The sequence below is a fragment of the Homo sapiens genome, chromosome 11 (genome assembly GCF_000001405.40).
Source record: "Homo sapiens chromosome 11, GRCh38.p14 Primary Assembly".
NCBI classification, from domain to species: domain Eukaryota; kingdom Metazoa; phylum Chordata; class Mammalia; order Primates; family Hominidae; genus Homo; species Homo sapiens.
In genome coordinates, this window is record NC_000011.10 from 63,890,774 (window position 1) to 63,908,195 (window position 17,422).

At 52.2% G+C, this 17,422-nt stretch overlaps 1 protein-coding gene and 1 pseudogene across 5 annotated transcripts in view, besides 2 other annotated features; both read left to right on the forward strand.

The window, feature by feature from the left end:
* Positions 1 to 17,422, forward strand: part of MARK2 (microtubule affinity regulating kinase 2) — a 71,911-nt gene that overhangs the window by 51,664 nt on the left and 2,825 nt on the right. For 2 of the 5 annotated variants that reach the window (NM_004954.5, NM_001163297.2), the window contains exons 2-15: positions 4,386 to 4,565; positions 4,807 to 4,860; positions 7,459 to 7,507; positions 7,835 to 7,900; positions 7,990 to 8,060; positions 8,279 to 8,335; positions 9,101 to 9,337; positions 9,786 to 9,905; positions 10,007 to 10,106; positions 10,184 to 10,296; positions 11,425 to 11,557; positions 11,831 to 12,009; positions 12,288 to 12,385; positions 14,013 to 14,270. In NM_004954.5, coding sequence (NP_004945.4) covers positions 4,386 to 4,565; positions 4,807 to 4,860; positions 7,459 to 7,507; positions 7,835 to 7,900; positions 7,990 to 8,060; positions 8,279 to 8,335; positions 9,101 to 9,337; positions 9,786 to 9,905; positions 10,007 to 10,106; positions 10,184 to 10,296; positions 11,425 to 11,557; positions 11,831 to 12,009; positions 12,288 to 12,385; positions 14,013 to 14,270 — 1,715 coding nt within the window. Of the gene's footprint in view, positions 1 to 4,385; positions 4,566 to 4,806; positions 4,861 to 7,458; positions 7,508 to 7,834; positions 7,901 to 7,989; positions 8,061 to 8,278; positions 8,336 to 9,100; positions 9,338 to 9,785; positions 9,906 to 10,006; positions 10,107 to 10,183; positions 10,297 to 11,424; positions 11,558 to 11,827; positions 12,010 to 12,287; positions 12,386 to 13,212; positions 13,375 to 14,012; positions 14,271 to 15,314; positions 15,342 to 17,422 lie in introns of all 5 variants that reach the window. The other 3 variants (NM_001039469.3, NM_001163296.2, NM_017490.4) reach the window with 3 other exon arrangements.
* Positions 3,522 to 3,590, forward strand: TRR-CCT9-1 (tRNA-Arg (anticodon CCT) 9-1; annotated as a pseudogene).
* Positions 12,041 to 12,853: an enhancer, noted in NCBI's record as "H3K4me1 hESC enhancer chr11:63670286-63671098 (GRCh37/hg19 assembly coordinates)". NCBI's record gives its function as "activates a minimal SCP1, AML or CMV promoter by ChIP-STARR-seq in primed H9 embryonic stem cells {active_cell/tissue: H9 hESC(primed)}" and the evidence as "EXISTENCE:reporter gene assay evidence [ECO:0000049][PMID:30033119]".
* Positions 16,688 to 17,361: an enhancer, noted in NCBI's record as "H3K4me1 hESC enhancer chr11:63674933-63675606 (GRCh37/hg19 assembly coordinates)". NCBI's record gives its function as "activates a minimal SCP1, AML or CMV promoter by ChIP-STARR-seq in naive H9 embryonic stem cells {active_cell/tissue: H9 hESC(naive)}" and the evidence as "EXISTENCE:reporter gene assay evidence [ECO:0000049][PMID:30033119]".

Sequence of the window (17,422 nt, forward strand, 5' to 3'; positions counted from 1 at the left end):
TTGAACATCGGATAAGGCATTTTACATGTGCTCTTTCATCTACCTGTGTAAAGTAGGGAATGTTTATTGCCACTTTACAGATAAGGAAATTAAAGCTTGTACGTGGGGGAGCCAGGGCTTGAACCTGATTCTGTTGGACTGCAGAGTTCCTCGGGATCCTCCCTGGCACAGATGTCTGGCAGTATTGGCCACTGGTCGTTTTTTGGGTAGTTCTCTTCCCCATTTGTAATAGTCTCACCTCCTTCTTGACAATGTTGATGTTACACTTGTTTTATTTTGGGGCTTTTTGTGTTTGTTTGTGTGTGTGTGTGTGTTTTCCTTTTTGTGAATGGGGGTCTCACTGTATTGCCTTTTTAAATATATTCTTTTTTTTTTTTCCTTTTTGTGAACAGCAGGTCTTGAACTCTTGGGCTCAAGCTATCCTCCTGCCTCTGCCTCCCTAAGTGCTGCCTGTAAAGGCATGAGCCACTGTGCCTGGCTTGATGATGTTGATGATAATAATAAAGTTAATATGTGCTGAGTAGGTGACAGATTTAGGATTTGAAACCTGGCAGCTTATCTCCGACATCTACAGTCTTAACCAGAAAGGAAGAGAATGAATGGTACAATCTTGCTTGTGGTTGTTAAGCTCCTTGAGGCCCACTTGTGCAGCAGGGCCAGGCAGGGAATGCTGACCTGCTGTGCCACACAGACCAGCCCCTCGGTTCACCAAGAGGGATGGGCAGAGCAGAGCTCAGGATGGGCATGGGATGCCCAGATTTGGTCTCAGTTGGCAAAAGGCCCAAGTCTGCAGGTAGATGCTAAATCCCTGGTCTGGATTTTGAGAACTTAGAGACCGTCACACTTCCTGCTGCCTTGGGCTTATATCCTCGGAGAAACAGGGAGTGACAACAAACTTAGAAGGTGAACTAGAGGTTGCCAAGGAAACTTTCCCACCCATCTTCCTCTCGTAGGAGTTGGGGCAGAAGGAAGGTTTTTTCCTGTTCATTGCCCGTTAGGCAGATGGGTAGGGTTGGAGGCAGTCTAGCAGCACTGAAAGGGAGGATGGGGCTGAGAAAAAGGTAGCCTGAGGAGACCAGGCTTTCAGTACCCTGCTGGACAGGGCTAGGGTACCCTTCAGGAGGCTGGCCCAATCAGGTGCCAGCAGGGCCTAGAAATGCCCTTCTCTCCAAGGGGTGTGAACCCTAGAGTTCCTTTGGAAGGGAAAAAAGCAGGTATTTAAAAATCCACTTGTCTTGCAGACACTGTTTGAGGACCAACCAGGCTTAGGTGAGCTACAGGGTGCGTGGAGAACAGAGCACCAGAGAGCTCTGTGGGCTGGAATGAGCAGACAATAAGAGCTGGGGGGCTTCATGGAGATGCAAAGGTTGATGAGGAAGAGAGAAGGAAGTTAAAAGGGCCTCTTCTGGGATGTGAGGAGCCTCCCCCTTCAAACATCTACCAAATGCATGGGATCTTCCTCCTCCAAGGTCCAACCCCATGTGTTTCTGGGATCTGGTCAAACAGCTCACCAAAAGACAGCCTGCAGCTACCATGCAAAGGCCCTACGTGGGCACAGTGAAGAAGGGGAAATGTCAGAATCAGGATACTGTACTTAACTTGCTGCTGTCGTTTCTGCCTGAAAAGCATCTGGTTGAGCTAGCAAGCTTCTTGTCTAGGAATGCTGGACAGTTCCTTGGGTAGTAGCAAGTCATTCTTTTTTTCTCTGTGGTTTTTGAGTGCTTCACGTACAGCCAGCAGGGGCCATGAAAGGAAGAACTTTCACTCACACTCCTCTGGTCACCCTGCTGCCCTCCAGACTGTTTCCTTGAAGTTTCCAAGGCAGCTCTGGATGGTTCTGGGATGAGGCTCTGGCCTCATATGCTTTGTTGCAGTATGCTGGAGCGATCGCTCCAGATGTTCTTTGTGAGATGTAAACCAGGGCGCTAATCAGGAGTTAGACCAGACTCTGCATTTTTTTTTTTTTTTTTTGAGACAGGGTCTCGCTCTATCACCCAGGCTGGAGTACAATGGCATGATCATGGCTCACTGCAGCCTCGAACTCCTCCTGGGTTCAAGCGATCCTCCCGCCTCATCCTCCAGAGCAGCTGGGACTATAGGTGCATGCCACCACACCCAGTTGATTTCTTAATTTTTTTTTTTTTTTTTTTTTGAGACGGAGTTTCACTCTTGTTGCCCAGGCTGGAGTGCAGTGGTGCGATCTCAGCTCACTGTAACCTCCTCCTCCTGGGTTCAAGCAATTCTCCTGCCTCAGCCTCCCTAGTAGCTGGGATTACAGGCACCTGTAATCCACCATGCCCAGCTAATTTTTTGTATTTTTAGTAGAGACAAGGTTTTACTATGTTGGCCAGGCTGGTCTCGAACTCCTGACCTCAAGCAATCCACCTGCCTCAACCTCCCAAGATTTCTTAATTTCTTAATTTTTTGTAGAGACAGAGTCTCCCTATGTTGCCCAGGCTCGTCTCAAGCTCCTGGCCTCAAGTGATCCTCCTGCCTCAGCCTCCTAAAGTGCTGGGATTTAGGCATGAGCTACCTTGCCTGGCCTAGACTCTGAACAGTTTTAGTGAGATACCATAAGTTTATCCAAGTTTCTTCTGTGTTGTAGCATATATTCTTTTTTACTGCCAACCAATATTCCCCGGTAAGGATATGCTACGTTTGTCTATCCGTTCATCCAGCTGATGGGCATTTGAATTGTTTCCACTTTTTGACTATTATGGATTATGGTGCTGTGAACCTTGGTTACAGGTTTTTTGTGGATTTCTGTTTTCATTTCTCTTTTGTATATACTGAGGAGCGGAATTGCTGGCTCATATAGTCTGTGTTTAGCACTTTGAGGAATGTACACGTCTTCACATAGATGTATGTTTTTTGTCTAGACCATACCCTTTTTGTACAGGTTGAACATCCGTAATCCAAAAGCCAAAATGCTCCAAAATCTAAACTTTTTGAGTGCCAGCATGATGCCACAAGTGGAAAATTCTACACGTAACCCCATATGACAGGTTATAAGCAAAATTCAATCACTTTATTTCATGCACAAAATTATTTTAAAATGTCATGAAATTACCTTCAGGCCATGTATATAATGTACACATGAAAAATAAATGTTTAGACTTGGGTCCCATCCCTGAGATATCTGATTATGTATATGCAAATATTCCAAAATCCAAAACAATTTAAAATCTGCCACGTTTCTGGTCCTAAGCATTTTGGATAAAGGATATTCAACCCGTATTATGTTTATATGCCTCTTCAGTGCTGGTAGTTGTAGCTTCTGCTTCCTCATCCCCTCATTTGAGCCGGGTGGCAGAGCAGGGCAGACTGCTGCCTTGCTCAGACCTAATCGTTCAGTTCTTTCATTGTACAAGTATTCATTGAGCAGCAAACATAAGCCAGTCTCTCTAAGTGCTGGGATGTATCAGTGAATAAAGAATATATGCCTGCTTTCATGTGCTTCCATTTTTACTGGGGGAGATGGCAAATAAATGTAAAGTGATAAATAACAAAGGTTCAGTGGGGCATTCGTAGTTCAGCGGCAGAAATTTCGTCTCCTACGCGGGAGACTCGGGTTCGACTTCGGCCATGCAGTCCTTCCATGCAGGAAGGGCTACTACGTTTCTACCCAACAAAGTTATTATGGCTGGGCGCAGTGGCTCACGCCTGTAATTCCAGCACTTTGGGAGGCCAAGGCGGGCGGATCACCTGAGATCAGGAGTTTGAGACCAGCCTGACCAACATGGAGAAACCCTATCTCTATTGAAAATACAAAATTAGCCAGGCGTGGTGGCGCATGACTGTAATCCCAGCTACTCGGGAGGCTGAGGTGGGAGAATTGCTTGAACCCGGGAGGTGGAGGTTGCGGTGAGCTGAGATCGCACCATTGCACTCCAGCCTGGGCAACAAGAGTAAAGCTCTGTCTCAAAAAAATAAATAAATAAAAAATAAAGGTTCATGTAAGTTTTGGGTGGCGATGAGGGCGTTGAAGCAGTTATGACCATGTAGCTACCATGACTTTGAGATGCAGTCTTCTCGCAGTGTGCACAGGCAGCATGGAGGGAGGCAGGGTACCGGCTCTCCCTCCTGAACCAGACGAGCTGTTGTGTTGCCAATGGAGGTTCAGGGAGCCAGTGATGGGACAGCTCTGCTCCTGAGCTTTGCCACCCACAGGACCTGGGCACTGGACCTTATGATGTGCTTCTCTGGAGTGAAGACTGGCTGTCACCTCAGCCCCCTCTCCTTTCTTCTGCTGCCATATCATTCTTCACATGCCTACCAGCCCCCTGGAATCTGCCCCTGCACCCTCATCCCTTATATATTTTGCAGAGAGCGTTTAGAGGACTGGAAGTGTGGCATGTAATGGTATCTCTGTTTCCACCCCGCAGCCCACCTTGGGACACCTTGACTCCAAGCCCAGCAGTAAGTCCAACATGATTCGGGGCCGCAACTCAGCCACCTCTGCTGATGAGCAGCCCCACATTGGAAACTACCGGCTCCTCAAGACCATTGGCAAGGGTAATTTTGCCAAGGTGAAGTTGGCCCGACACATCCTGACTGGGAAAGAGGTGAGCACTGGGACTGGGGACATGGCAGCACCTCCCAGCCCTGTTGACACTCCAGCAGGTGGTGATGGGACTACTACTGCAGCCAACCTCTTGTTTATCCGGCAGAAATGAGATCTGAGATATAGGGGTGCAAAAAGCTGTGGGATGAAAAGGAGTAAGAAATATAAAGGAGGAAGTAGATTGGAATCCTGGGTTTCGCTGGTCAGAGAAGTGATTTGGGGCCTTTTTGTCTCATCCTCAGGTAGCTGTGAAGATCATTGACAAGACTCAACTGAACTCCTCCAGCCTCCAGAAAGTAAGCACATGGCACCTCCTGTCCCTTTTTTTTTTTTTTTTTTTTTTTTTTTTGAGTCAGAGCCTCACTCTTGTCGCCCAGGCTGGAGTGCAATGGTGTGATCTCGGCTCACTGCAACCTCCGCCTTTTGGTTTCAAGCGATTCTCCCGCCTCAGCCTCCCGAGTAGCTGGGATTATAGGCACCCGCCACCACACCTGGCTAAGTTTTGTATTTTTAGTAGAGATGGGGTTTCACCATGGTAGCCAGGCTGGTCTCGAACTCCTGACCTCAAGTGATCCGCTCGCCTCGGCCTCCCAAAGTGCTAGGATTATAGGCGTGAACCACTGCCCCCAGCCCACCTGTCCCTTTCTAAATCTCTCTTCTGGGGTCAATGATCTACTGACCCCATTTAGACCTTCTCTTGAATTCCTAGTTTAAATTTTCTGGCCATTTCGCTCACCGTCCCCCAACCATTCCCTCCCATGGCTCTGCTACCTTCGGGGCTTTGGTTGGATCATCTGTGGTGACTCCTCCTGAGTGGGCTTCCTGGCCATAGGCACTGGCTCTTGTGAAGTCTTTCTGTTCATTCCCAGCCACTTGGCCTACCTGTCTGACCTACTTCCTGCATCTTGTTATCTTCTGGCTTGTGGCCAGCCCTATGCAAAAACACATGTTTGTAGCCACTACTAGAAACACGTGCAGCTACTTCAAGATCTGGAATGATACAGGGGAGTGGCTTTAGAAATACAAGAATAAGAGGAAGCAGGGAACCTGCCGGTGGGTTCTGTGCCAGCTACCTTTTAGAGAATGAGCTCCAGCTCAAATTTTCTGAACAAAACCTAGTTCTGTTCATCTTGTGGCAAATCAGATATTTTCTCCATAAGCATATTGTGGCAGTTGAGTTAGGAGAAGGCATGATTCGTGCTAACAGAGTCAGATAGTGATACTGGGAACCTTAGGAGTAAGGGCTGAGGATTGTTGTTGAGGGCGATGCTCATGGAATTAGAGTGGATGAGTTGTTCTCCGGACATGCAAATAGCCAGAACCAAGGTGTTTCCTATTTATTGTTACCCCTGGGATCCCTTCAAGGGTTCTTCAGTTCAGTAGAAACATTGTTGTCATCATCAGGGTGTCTCTGCTTGAAGCTTTCCAGGAGGAAGGGAAAAAGGGCTGCTTATGACATCCTGGCTCCAGCCCCACAGAAGAAGTCAGCGTGGGGTAGGCCATTTGGCCTTGGGAGCAGTCTAGCCTGCCATCGTAATAATCGCCAGTCCACCAAGCCATCTTATTCCTGACCTTGTTTTTCTCCCTAATTCTTCTTGGTTTTCTCCCTAATTCTTCCTGACTCTCTGGAAGGCACCAACACCAGACAAATAGAGCCATTTTCAAAACCTTTTGAGACTCTTTGTTACTAAAGCCAGTCTGATTCTGGCCAAAAATGTGATCTCAGCAATGATCCCTGAAAAATGAACATTGAAGAAGCTAGCCCCCTCAGGGGTCTAGACAAGCCCAGAAAACCCCAAGTTCTCCCAGAAGAATGTCACTTCCATGCCAGGTGAGCAGCCTCAGGGGAAGAAGCCCTGGCAGCTGCCTCTGGCCCTATTTCAGAGCTGCTCCCCATTACTGCCCCAGAGGGTGGTATCCAGGCTTTTTGCCTCTCCATCCAAAATATCTGTTGGACCAGGGAAAAAAGTAAGAAAAACCTAGGCCCTAATAAAGGGTAAGGTCAGCATTGGGTTCCTGAGGATTGGAAAGCCTTTTTCTTCTTTTCCTTTCTAGCTTAGGAAAGCTCTGGGGCATCATTAAAGGGGAAACAAATGTATTCACTTTATTCCATAAACCATATCTTGAATTAGGGCTTCCCCTACCCCCAACAAAAACAACAACAAAAACTAGTTCTGTTCTTTGTGCAAGTGATGAGGCCTGAAATTACAAAAAGCCCCACCTCCAGTTCTCTGGCCCCCGCAGAGGGGAAGGAGTTCATTTCTGTCATCTTTCTTTATGGAAATACATGGTTTGGAGCCCCTGGTTTTGTTTCACAAAGAGAGCGTGAGTGTGTGGAGGTGGATTTGATTAAAATTGGCATCAGCTATATATAGGAGTGGCTTCTTCTGTCACCACCCTAGAGGCCCAGGAAGGAAAGGCCTATCCCCTAGAACAGAGCCCTCTGACTACTGTAAATCAGAAAATGATGGGGTCCCCCTCTGGTGCTCTACCACCCCTTTACACAGACCAAGCTGGGGTGTGTACTGTCACTGAACCAAGGCAGCAGCTCGGATTCTGAATATTCACGCACACGGGCTCACACTCCCTCCAGTAGAGGCACCCAGCCAAAACCTGCCTGCTGTTTTGGGGCTGGATTTGGTAGACGCAGCAGAGGGCATGGCTGGCTCATCCTGATGCCATCCCGGGTAGCACGTCCCCACAGCCAGCCCTCCTCCAGCTTCCCCAACTTCCCAGCCACAGGGAAGGCCGTGCATGAGCTAGACAACCACCCTATTTTCTTTTCCCTGCCCGGTTTTGGTTTTTTGGGAAAAACAAATCCTGGCAGGGACTGTTTGGAGAGACCTGATGGGAGCAAGTTGGGCAGGCATGACCCCTGGTATTTTATCTTCCAGCTATTCCGCGAAGTAAGAATAATGAAGGTTTTGAATCATCCCAACATAGGTGAGCACAAGTTGTTATTTCTTTCTTCTTCCCCAACAGCAAGGCACTGCTTTCCAGCATGTCATCTTCTCCCCGAGGTGCACTGCCTTCTGGAGTCTGCAGTCTTCAAGGATACCCCTGGGGAAGCTCAGCTCAAAATCCATCTCCCCTTCTGGCACACTGGGCTGTCTTTAGCAGTTTGGCTGGCATGAGAGGAACTTGTTCTTGGGAGTGGGGGATCATGAAAGGAGGGGAGACTTTCGTTCCTAGGATGCTCCTGGACATGTTGGAGAGCAGTATGTGGCCCCTGTTGCTTCTTGACTTAAGGCTTGGCCTTTTCTCTTGTAGTTAAATTATTTGAAGTGATTGAGACTGAGAAAACGCTCTACCTTGTCATGGAGTACGCTAGTGGCGGTAGGTGTGGAACTGCCTCTTCCTGTTGTGCCCCCACTTCTTCCACCTCCAGCCAGCTCTGACTGAGATCCCTGCCTGGTCTCTTACAGGAGAGGTATTTGATTACCTAGTGGCTCATGGCAGGATGAAAGAAAAAGAGGCTCGAGCCAAATTCCGCCAGGTAGGTGTGACTCCCTCCATAGGAGCTAGGCCTGACCTCTGCTTTTGGGGTTTGACATGTAAGGATAAGCTGCCTGTCTGTAAGTGGCCCTTGGAGGGTACTTTGGGCTCTGCTTATCCGTGTGGCAGGTTAGCACTAAGTCACAGGGTCACTGCTCTGTCAGCCCCTGTGGCCCACCCTCAGGCACCCCTGGGTTAACCCTTCTTCCTTCCTTTCAGATAGTGTCTGCTGTGCAGTACTGTCACCAGAAGTTTATTGTCCATAGAGACTTAAAGGTAAGGCATGCACTTCTCCTTGTGCCTTTGAGTGGGAGCCAGGTTGTTGCCTCTTGGTTCTCCATGATAAAACCATCAATAACCATCAGGCCCTGAGTGTTCCAGGAAACTCCAGCCTTTCTTTTTTTCTTTCTTTCTTTCTTTTTTTTTTTTTGAGATGACCAGAAAGCCCCTAGGGCTGCCTCTGATAGAGGCCTTGTGGCTGGACCTCGGGTTCCATTCTAGCCCTTGAGCAGGGGCCCTCTGCCATTTCACCTCTTGGCACATCACCTTTTAGTGCTGCCAAGCAAGGCAGGCACACTCCAGGCTTTCTCAGTCTTTCAGGCAACCTGGTAGCTGACCCAGGGAAGAGTGCTGAAAGTTCCACAGCTGTATCCCAGCTGCTTTGCAGGCAGGCACACACATACCATCTCCATCACCAAGATACTCAAGTTTGAGGACACCTGTGGGTCTCTTGGCTGCTGAGTCCTCACAGACATGATTTGATTAACCTGGGCCTGATGCTGAAGCTTTGCACAGCTCACAGGGTCTCTGGGCCTTCAGATCCCATCTCTCCCATGGCTGCCCACGTGAGGAGTGGCCTGCATTGCCTTCCTCCTGCCCAGCCTATTCACGCTGATTGAAGCCCTGCCCTGAAATTGGTGGAGAAAGTTCTGAGACTGAAGATGACTTTCCGTTTGTTCTCCCATTCCCCTCAGCTCCTTCCTGCCCAGGGCCTTAGTCTGGTCCACTTGGTTCCCTGATGTTTTCCATCTTACCTCCCAGGCAGAAAACCTGCTCTTGGATGCTGATATGAACATCAAGATTGCAGACTTTGGCTTCAGCAATGAATTCACCTTTGGGAACAAGCTGGACACCTTCTGTGGCAGTCCCCCTTATGCTGCCCCAGAACTCTTCCAGGGCAAAAAATATGATGGACCCGAGGTGGATGTGTGGAGCCTAGGAGTTATCCTCTATACACTGGTCAGCGGATCCCTGCCTTTTGATGGACAGAACCTCAAGGTGGAGTGAAGTGCAAGCTTTTTATTGCTTCTCATTTCCTCTCGGCCTCTGGTCTTAGCCCTGACCTCCTGCCTTTGCCACCTGTCTACATTTGTCCCAAGCCAAAGCTTCAGAGAAGGGCTTGCTGAGGTAGCAGCAGTCAAAGGCCTTCTGCACCTGGGAATGAATAACCTCAGTTCCTTTCTCGAAAGATGGGATAAACTGTGTGTGTGTTCATCCCCCAAGGCACTCCGGATTGCAGGCCTCGGACTGGTCAAGTTAGAGGGTACGAGGGTATTTGACTTCACTTGCCTCTCTGGTGAGGTGTCTTGTCCCCAGGCTGTCTGCCTTCTTCCATATTTCATTTATGTCTGCTTTGCCAGGCTTAAGCTCTCAGGATCTTGGATATTAGGTTTCTTCCTTTGGCCTTGGGGTGATTTCAATTTTCTAACCCTGGATCCTCCTGCAGGAGCTGCGGGAACGGGTACTGAGGGGAAAATACCGTATTCCATTCTACATGTCCACGGACTGTGAAAACCTGCTTAAGAAATTTCTCATTCTTAATCCCAGCAAGAGAGGCACTTTAGAGGTGAGCAGTGGAGCCCAACTGGCGGAAGGGCCTGGGGTCCCCACAGAAACTTTCCAGCTGAGTTTCTTCCCCCTGCCCTTTTCCTTCTCTGTGCTCCCCAGCAAATCATGAAAGATCGATGGATGAATGTGGGTCACGAAGATGATGAACTAAAGCCTTACGTGGAGCCACTCCCTGACTACAAGGACCCCCGGCGGACAGGTGAGGCTGTGCCGGGCTGTGAGGTTAAGCTTGCCTAGGAGTTGAGGCCAGTCTTAACTGTATGTCCCCCTGTGCAGAGCTGATGGTGTCCATGGGTTATACACGGGAAGAGATCCAGGACTCGCTGGTGGGCCAGAGATACAACGAGGTGATGGCCACCTATCTGCTCCTGGGCTACAAGAGCTCCGAGGTGTGTGCTCCCCGCCCCATTCTCTGACCTGGCCAGCCTCACTGTCTGTAGCACCTATGCTTCTAACACCTGTTGAGGGCAGAAGCTCATCTCTGAGTAGGTGTGCTCTCTGCTCACCAATTTTAAGCCTCAGCTTTGGTGTCTAAGGTCCTCTGGCCCATTCACTGATCTCCATGAGTGAATTAATAGAAAGCTGGTAGGGTCGGTGTGGGACTGGGTCAGAGTTTCAATACGGGTGAGTTGATCTAGGTTAGTCTGCATTGATTAGATGTGTCTAGGTCATCGGCTAGCACTACTACATTGATCTAGATATCTTTGTGTCTCTTTTTGTATCTGGAAGTGTACATTTCTGGGTGTGTGTGTGTGTCTCTGTGTGTGTCTGATCGGAAGTTTGAGTCTGTTGCTTTTTTTTTTTTTTTTTTTTTTGAGACGGAATTTCGCTCTTGTTGCCCAGGCTGGAGTGCAATGGCAGGATCTTGGCTCACTGCAACCTCCGCCTCCCGGGTTCAAGCGATTCTCCTGCCTCAGCCTCCCAAGTAGCTGGGATTACAGGCATGTGCCACCATACCCGGCTATTGAGTCTGTTGCTTCTGTCTAGTGCTTTATGTTTGGGTGTGTGTATCTGTGTGTGTGTGTGTGTGTGTGTGTGTGTGTATGTGTCCGTCTTCCCGTCTGTGGATCTGGAGACTTTGTGATTGTTCTTCTGCCCATTTGGGTTTTGTTCATCATCTGAGTATCCCCACATGAACTCCCAGCCTCCCTGCCCTGCTCTCCCTCTGGTGGTGGGATCCTTAAGAGGCACCTGGTGACACTTGGTATAGGCCCATATTGCTCTGTGTTGAGGGGAGTGGACTTGAGTCTGGACATGTGTTCTTGCGGATGTTTGTGTCTCTGGGTGTGTGGGCTTATGTATTCCTTTCTGAGACTGTGTTTGTCAGTGTCTGTGTCAGAGCATGTGTGTCTCCAGGGTCTCCTCCAGGGGGGATGTATTGGTCTTACAAGTGGATGTCCGGTATGATCCTGGGGTGTTTGAGTGTTGGGAGAGGGCGGTATGTGTAAATGTGTCCATCCATAGGGATCTCCACATGACTTCTGCCCTCCCTTGAAGCTGTTTTCTGTTTCTTTCAGCTGGAAGGCGACACCATCACCCTGAAACCCCGGCCTTCAGCTGATCTGACCAATAGCAGCGCCCCATCCCCATCCCACAAGGTACAGCGCAGCGTGTCGGCCAATCCCAAGCAGCGGCGCTTCAGCGACCAGGGTAAATGCTTTTGGGAGTTGTAGGTGGGGACTCACCCCTCTCCAGAGAGGTTACAGGTTCTGTGGGGACTTGGGTAACACAACTAAGTTTCAGTCCTGGTTCAGCCACTTATTAGTAGTGTGGCTATGGGCAAGCCACTTCCCTTCCCTCGCCTCTGTGGAATGGGGGCTTGCTGGGTTGTTGGCCAGCCCTGTAGGAAATGAGCATGCGTGGGGCTGGCACTCAGTGGACCCCTTGGCCTTACCCATTCCCATCCTCCCTCTGGCCCAGCAGCTGGTCCTGCCATTCCCACCTCTAATTCTTACTCTAAGAAGACTCAGAGTAACAACGCAGAAAATAAGCGGCCTGAGGAGGACCGGGAGTCAGGGCGGAAAGCCAGCAGCACAGCCAAGGTGCCTGCCAGCCCCCTGCCCGGTCTGGAGAGGAAGAAGACCACCCCAACCCCCTCCACGGTGAGCCGCACCCCCCGCTCTCTCCTTCCTTCCTGCGGTGGGGCCTGCCCTCTCCAGGCAGCTCTTCTCTTAATTCAGACTCTGTTCCCTTTGGCTACTACTTCTGCTTATAGCAGGAAGCCTCGCTCCCAGCAGTAAATGCAGAATCCTTTCCTTAACCTACCACTGTCTGCTTCAGGTGGAAGGGACAGGAAGCCTGTTCCATGAACCTGGGGGGAGAACCTGGCTGTAGACCACTTTGGCTTTCTGATAGAACGCTTGCCCTTTATTCCCCACAGAACAGCGTCCTCTCCACCAGCACAAATCGAAGCAGGAATTCCCCACTTTTGGAGCGGGCCAGCCTCGGCCAGGCCTCCATCCAGAATGGCAAAGACAGGTGAGAGACCCGGGCCCTGCCTGCCTCACTCCCTAGGAGCCATGTCTCACAGGGTGATGTCTGTCAGCAGCACCGTCTCCTGTCCCTGCCAGCGCATTGCTCCCTGCTCCCTGGAGTTCCATCCTGGCTGTGTCCAGTCCAGCTTTCCCCTCCCCTATTCCACGCCATTGCCTCCTCCCCATCTTCCTCTGACTGCTACTTGCAGTTTGCCAAGTGTGGGGCTGACCGTGGCCATCTCAGCTACATGCTCGCTTCTTGACCACGGCCAGGGCATGGCAGCTGCCCTCCTCTAGACATGAGCAGCTAAGGCCTTGTGTTGGGGGTCCCAGCTCAGGGCAGAACCAAGAGATGCCCACCTTGAGGGGTGTACACATAGAGGGCGACTCCAGCCATCCCCATGAGACCAGAGCTCCCCAGCCTTCACCGGCCGCATTTCTTGGTGTTGCATTCCTGGCTCTATCTCTTCTGAGTTTATGAAAGTTTCCCCTCAGCAACACCCCACTCTTTCTGTAGAAGAAACTCTCCTGTTCTTAAAATTCTTAGGAGGCCAGTGCAGCCTGGAGGCAGCGGCCCCTTGTCTGCTCTCCTTCATTTCTGATTCCTCTTCCCAGGCACTGACCCACCTCGCTGCTTCCCGACCTCACTCACCTCCACTTCTCAGCCCCGCATTCCTCAGTTCTGACTTGCATCCCGCTGCTGCCCAGGCCTGACTTCTACCCTGCCAGAGCTCCCCAGCTCTGGCCCTTCCCCTGCCCTTGCTTCCTAATCCAGGCCTCCCGCCCTCACTCACCCCTAACACGGGCCTCTCCGCTGCTTTTGTTTCCTAGCCTAACCATGCCAGGGTCCCGGGCCTCCACGGCTTCTGCTTCTGCCGCAGTCTCTGCGGCCCGGCCCCGCCAGCACCAGAAATCCATGTCGGCCTCCGTGCACCCCAACAAGGCCTCTGGGCTGCCCCCCACGGAGAGTAACTGTGAGGTGCCGCGGCCCAGGCAAGTGTGCTGGGGCAGCTGGTGCACCTGCTGCCCTCAGCCCACCCTACCCCCTTGCCCCAACAATTTCTTCTTCCCACTTGGGGGTCCTGCTGTGTTCTTGTCATCTTAGCCACAAGAAATGGGTCTGTCCCCTGCGGCCAGGAAGTGGAGGGAACAAAAAAGAGCATTAATGCCCCTCTTTTCCAGTTCTCCCTCTCAGAACAGGTATGCAGGAAGCTGTCCTAAGGCTCCAAAGGGAAACCTTTTTGTTCTGAACCTTCCAGGGTTTCCTTAGGGACCCCGGGGATAGTCGGCATCACAGGGACTCAATCCTCAAGGGTTGGTCCCCATTGCCGCCTTGAGGGTCCAGTCTGCCCGGCTCCCAGGGAGCCCGCTGTCTCCAGCCTAAACCACACTCCACACAGGGGTCCTTCCTTGCCTCCCTCCCTCCCTTCCCAAACCATCTCCTTCCACTTCCACGAGACTTCCTTCTCACCACTGTCCTCAGTAGTCACACCCTTCCTTCTGTGTCCTCGTGATGGCTGCCTCTGCCCTAGCATCCCCCTCCCTGTCCCCACCACAGGGTGTCCAGGTGCCCAGTGATGGCTGTCCTGTACCCTAATTCGTCCCCCTCAACCCCACTTCTCTTCCCACAGCACAGCCCCCCAGCGTGTCCCTGTTGCCTCCCCATCCGCCCACAACATCAGCAGCAGTGGTGGAGCCCCAGACCGAACTAACTTCCCCCGGGGTGTGTCCAGCCGAAGCACCTTCCATGCTGGGCAGCTCCGACAGGTGCGGGACCAGCAGAATTTGCCCTACGGTGTGACCCCAGCCTCTCCCTCTGGCCACAGCCAGGGCCGGCGGGGGGCCTCTGGGAGCATCTTCAGCAAGTTCACCTCCAAGTTTGTACGCAGGTAAGCAAGGAGCTTTGGGTGGCAGAGAGGCTCAGGCCAGGCCTTCCTGCTTTACTCGGGGTGGGTTGGGGGTTGGGGGTTGGGGTTTGGGACACTCTGTACCGGTATTGGGTCCTGGGGTTAGAAGAGGCTTCAGGAAGCACAAGAAATTAGGTCTTTGTCAACACCTTATGTGCCCAGGCCCACCCCTCTTAGGCCTCTCCCCAACTCCTCACAGGCACCCCTCATTCTCTGGCCCCAAGCAGATGGCCGATGCCGCCTCCTCTCTAGGAGAGTGTGAACTCAGATGCTAAAATAAAAGCCCCCCCTTCTCTCCTGGGTTCCCATGGAAACTTATATTTGGTGACGCAGCTGCAAAGTCATGAGGCATGAGCCAGGCTGGGGCCAGCAAGGAAAATTTTGTCCTGGTCTCTTGCCCCTTTGACTGCCTCTCCCACTAGTTGGTTCTGTTTCTGGCTGCAGGCGCAGCCATGCCCTTCTGCCCGGGGGTTTTAGGGTGAAACCTATAAATGAAATCACTGGCGAGGGCCTACAGTGGCCTCTTCCCTAACCTAACTCCGATGTGCCAAAGGTTTCCTGTGTTGGACCCAGGGTGGGGATCTCTTCACGGGGTTTCTCACACCTGAGCCCCCAGCCACCACAGAGGTGCAGCTTGAAGTGCATCCAGCCAACTGGCTGGCCTCCTGGGATGCTCCGCATCCCCATCCTGCCATTCCTCTCCCTGCCTTGGAGTAGCAGCTCAGGAAGCAGCAGGGGCTTTGAGAGAACAGGCTCGCCTGCCCTTCCTCTACGTTTCACTCCACTCTGCTGGAGGAGCCAAAGCCACTGCCCCATCCGAGCCCCAGAATGCAAGTGTGAGGCCTGCAGAGAGTGTGGGCAGGTCTGAAAGCCTGGGACTCTAGTCTCGCTGAGCGGCTCTTCCGAAAATGGGATGACCCTTGAACCTGTAAAGCCACCTCCCCCACCTGCTTATCCACATACCGTCTTGTTGGTTTTTTTTTTATTTCTTTTTTTATTTTGTCTTTTTTTTGTTTGTTTTTTTAGAAATCTGTCTTTCAGGTTTGCCAGAAGGTAGGCGTTGAGCCCGCTGTGTGTGTGTGTGTGTGTGTGTGTCTGTGTCCTGTGTCCTGCCTCCATCACTAACTCCCCTTTTCTGGCTCTTACTCTCCTCCATCTGCTTAACCAAGTCTGTGTGGCCCTCCTCTCTCTGCCATCTTAAAGGGATGAAGACTGCCTCTGATTGGGCATCAGCACAAGGCCTGCCCTCCGTGCCCCCAGTACAAACAGGCAGGGCTAAGAGGCCACATTGGCCCACTCAGGGCAAATGGCTTTAAAAATGAGGGCCTTCCTTGGGCCCACAGTTAACGCCTGTCCTCAAGTAAGGGGAGACTGTCTCAGGGAAGCCTCCCTTTAAGATTGTCTCCTCTCACCCACCCCACCCCACCCCCACTCCCTCTCACCCCAGGTTTTGGTCACAAGTGTTGGGATCCTTTCCTGCCCTTTCCCTTGTCATGTGCATGCGCTATGAGGAAGCTCCAGGGTTACAAGTGCATCTGGGATGGTATCTTGTTTGTTGTCTCCTGGGTTTCCTGAACTTCAGAGCTATGTGACCTCTTCCCCGTGGCCTATGGGATCGCAGGACTTTGGAGACACTACGGGGACCCTGGGGCCCCAAGGTTTCAGTCTGGCTCCCCCAGACCTTAGGAGCTTTTGTCTCACAAATGGAGCACAGCACCCCCTCCTGGCAGCTCCTGCAGAACTAGCCCCACCCACCCGCACCCCTGCCCCAGCACCCCTGCCACCAGCAGCATCTGGATAAATCAAGCCTCTTCTCCTCTAGGCTGTTTTCTCCAGATATGGCCTGTCTCTTCCAAAGTGCGGGGAGCTGGGACATTCTAGGGCAACGGCCATTCTACCCCAAGCCGTAGCAAAACAACAGGAGATCTCTGCACCCTTACTCAGGGGTCTCCCTTCACAGTCCCCTTCCTGGCTCTTTCACCCCTGGCCTTATGCTCATCCTCTCTGCAGGCCTCGGGGACCAAATACCAAGCTGAAGACCAAGGGCCAGGTTAAGAGTGCTTGTTCCCCAAGGCTGTCTGCTCAGGCCCTGCATTGGGACTGGGATGCCTGGCAGGCACATTGGTGCCACAGCTGATGGAGGAACGTCCAGACAGGGTCTTCAGGCTTTCCCTATCCCCTCCTCCTCCCACCCAGCTGTTGACTGCATGACTGGCTGCTGCCTCAAGGGGCCCCAGCAGGGGGCTGCCCCACAGGGGGTCTGGAGAGAGCAGGGAGGGTGCCTTCCTCGCACAGCCGGGCTCCCTGCTCGCAGTGCGCTTGTGTGCACCCCTGTGTTGGTTGTGTCTTCCTGTTTATTTCTATGTGCTGCTGCTCTTCCTCCTTCCTCTCATATCCTTCCTCCTCTGCAATCCCCAGTTTCCTAGCTCCAGACACCCATCTTCCAGCCAGGAGCTGGAGAAGCCGCTCAGCGGGGCCAGACCTCTTCCCCACCCACCCAACCAAGGTGTCTGCCCTGCCCTGCCCCACCCCACCCTCATCCTCCCTGCGTATGAGCAGATGGCCTGGCAGGCCAGCAGGTAGGGGAGTTGGGAAAGGTCGGAGGAGGCCGCCTTTTCCACTCAGCAGCAGGAAGCCATCCCCAGGTGCCTACCATGCAGACCCAGGCCTTGGCACTTTGAGTCTCCTGACAGGCCCTTGCGTAGCCACGGCCCCTCCTCCTACAGAGATTCAAAGCATTGCAGCCCCTTTCCTCCAAAAGGACTGCAGTCCTGAGACCCTAGCGTGTGGCTCCAAAAACGCACTCACACCTGCAACCCCCAGAACAGCGCGTGAGCCCTGGCTGTGGGGGAGCAGCCTCGTGCCGGGCCGTGTGCTCAGTGTGCTCAGTGAAGTGCGTGCACAGCCACTCCCCCTCCTCCCCCAGAGCAGAGGCTCCTTCTCCCCGGCACAGATCTGGGAATGTGGGGAGGGACAAGCCCCATGTGCTGGGCTCCCTGCTGGAAAGGAATGGTTGAGCCGCCAGTGTGAGGTGCTGCAGAGCCCTGTTGGCTTGCCAGGTGATGGGCAGAGGGCCCTGGGCTTGGGTCCTGCCCACCCACTGGTGGCACCTCCCCAGACCCACTCTCATCTGG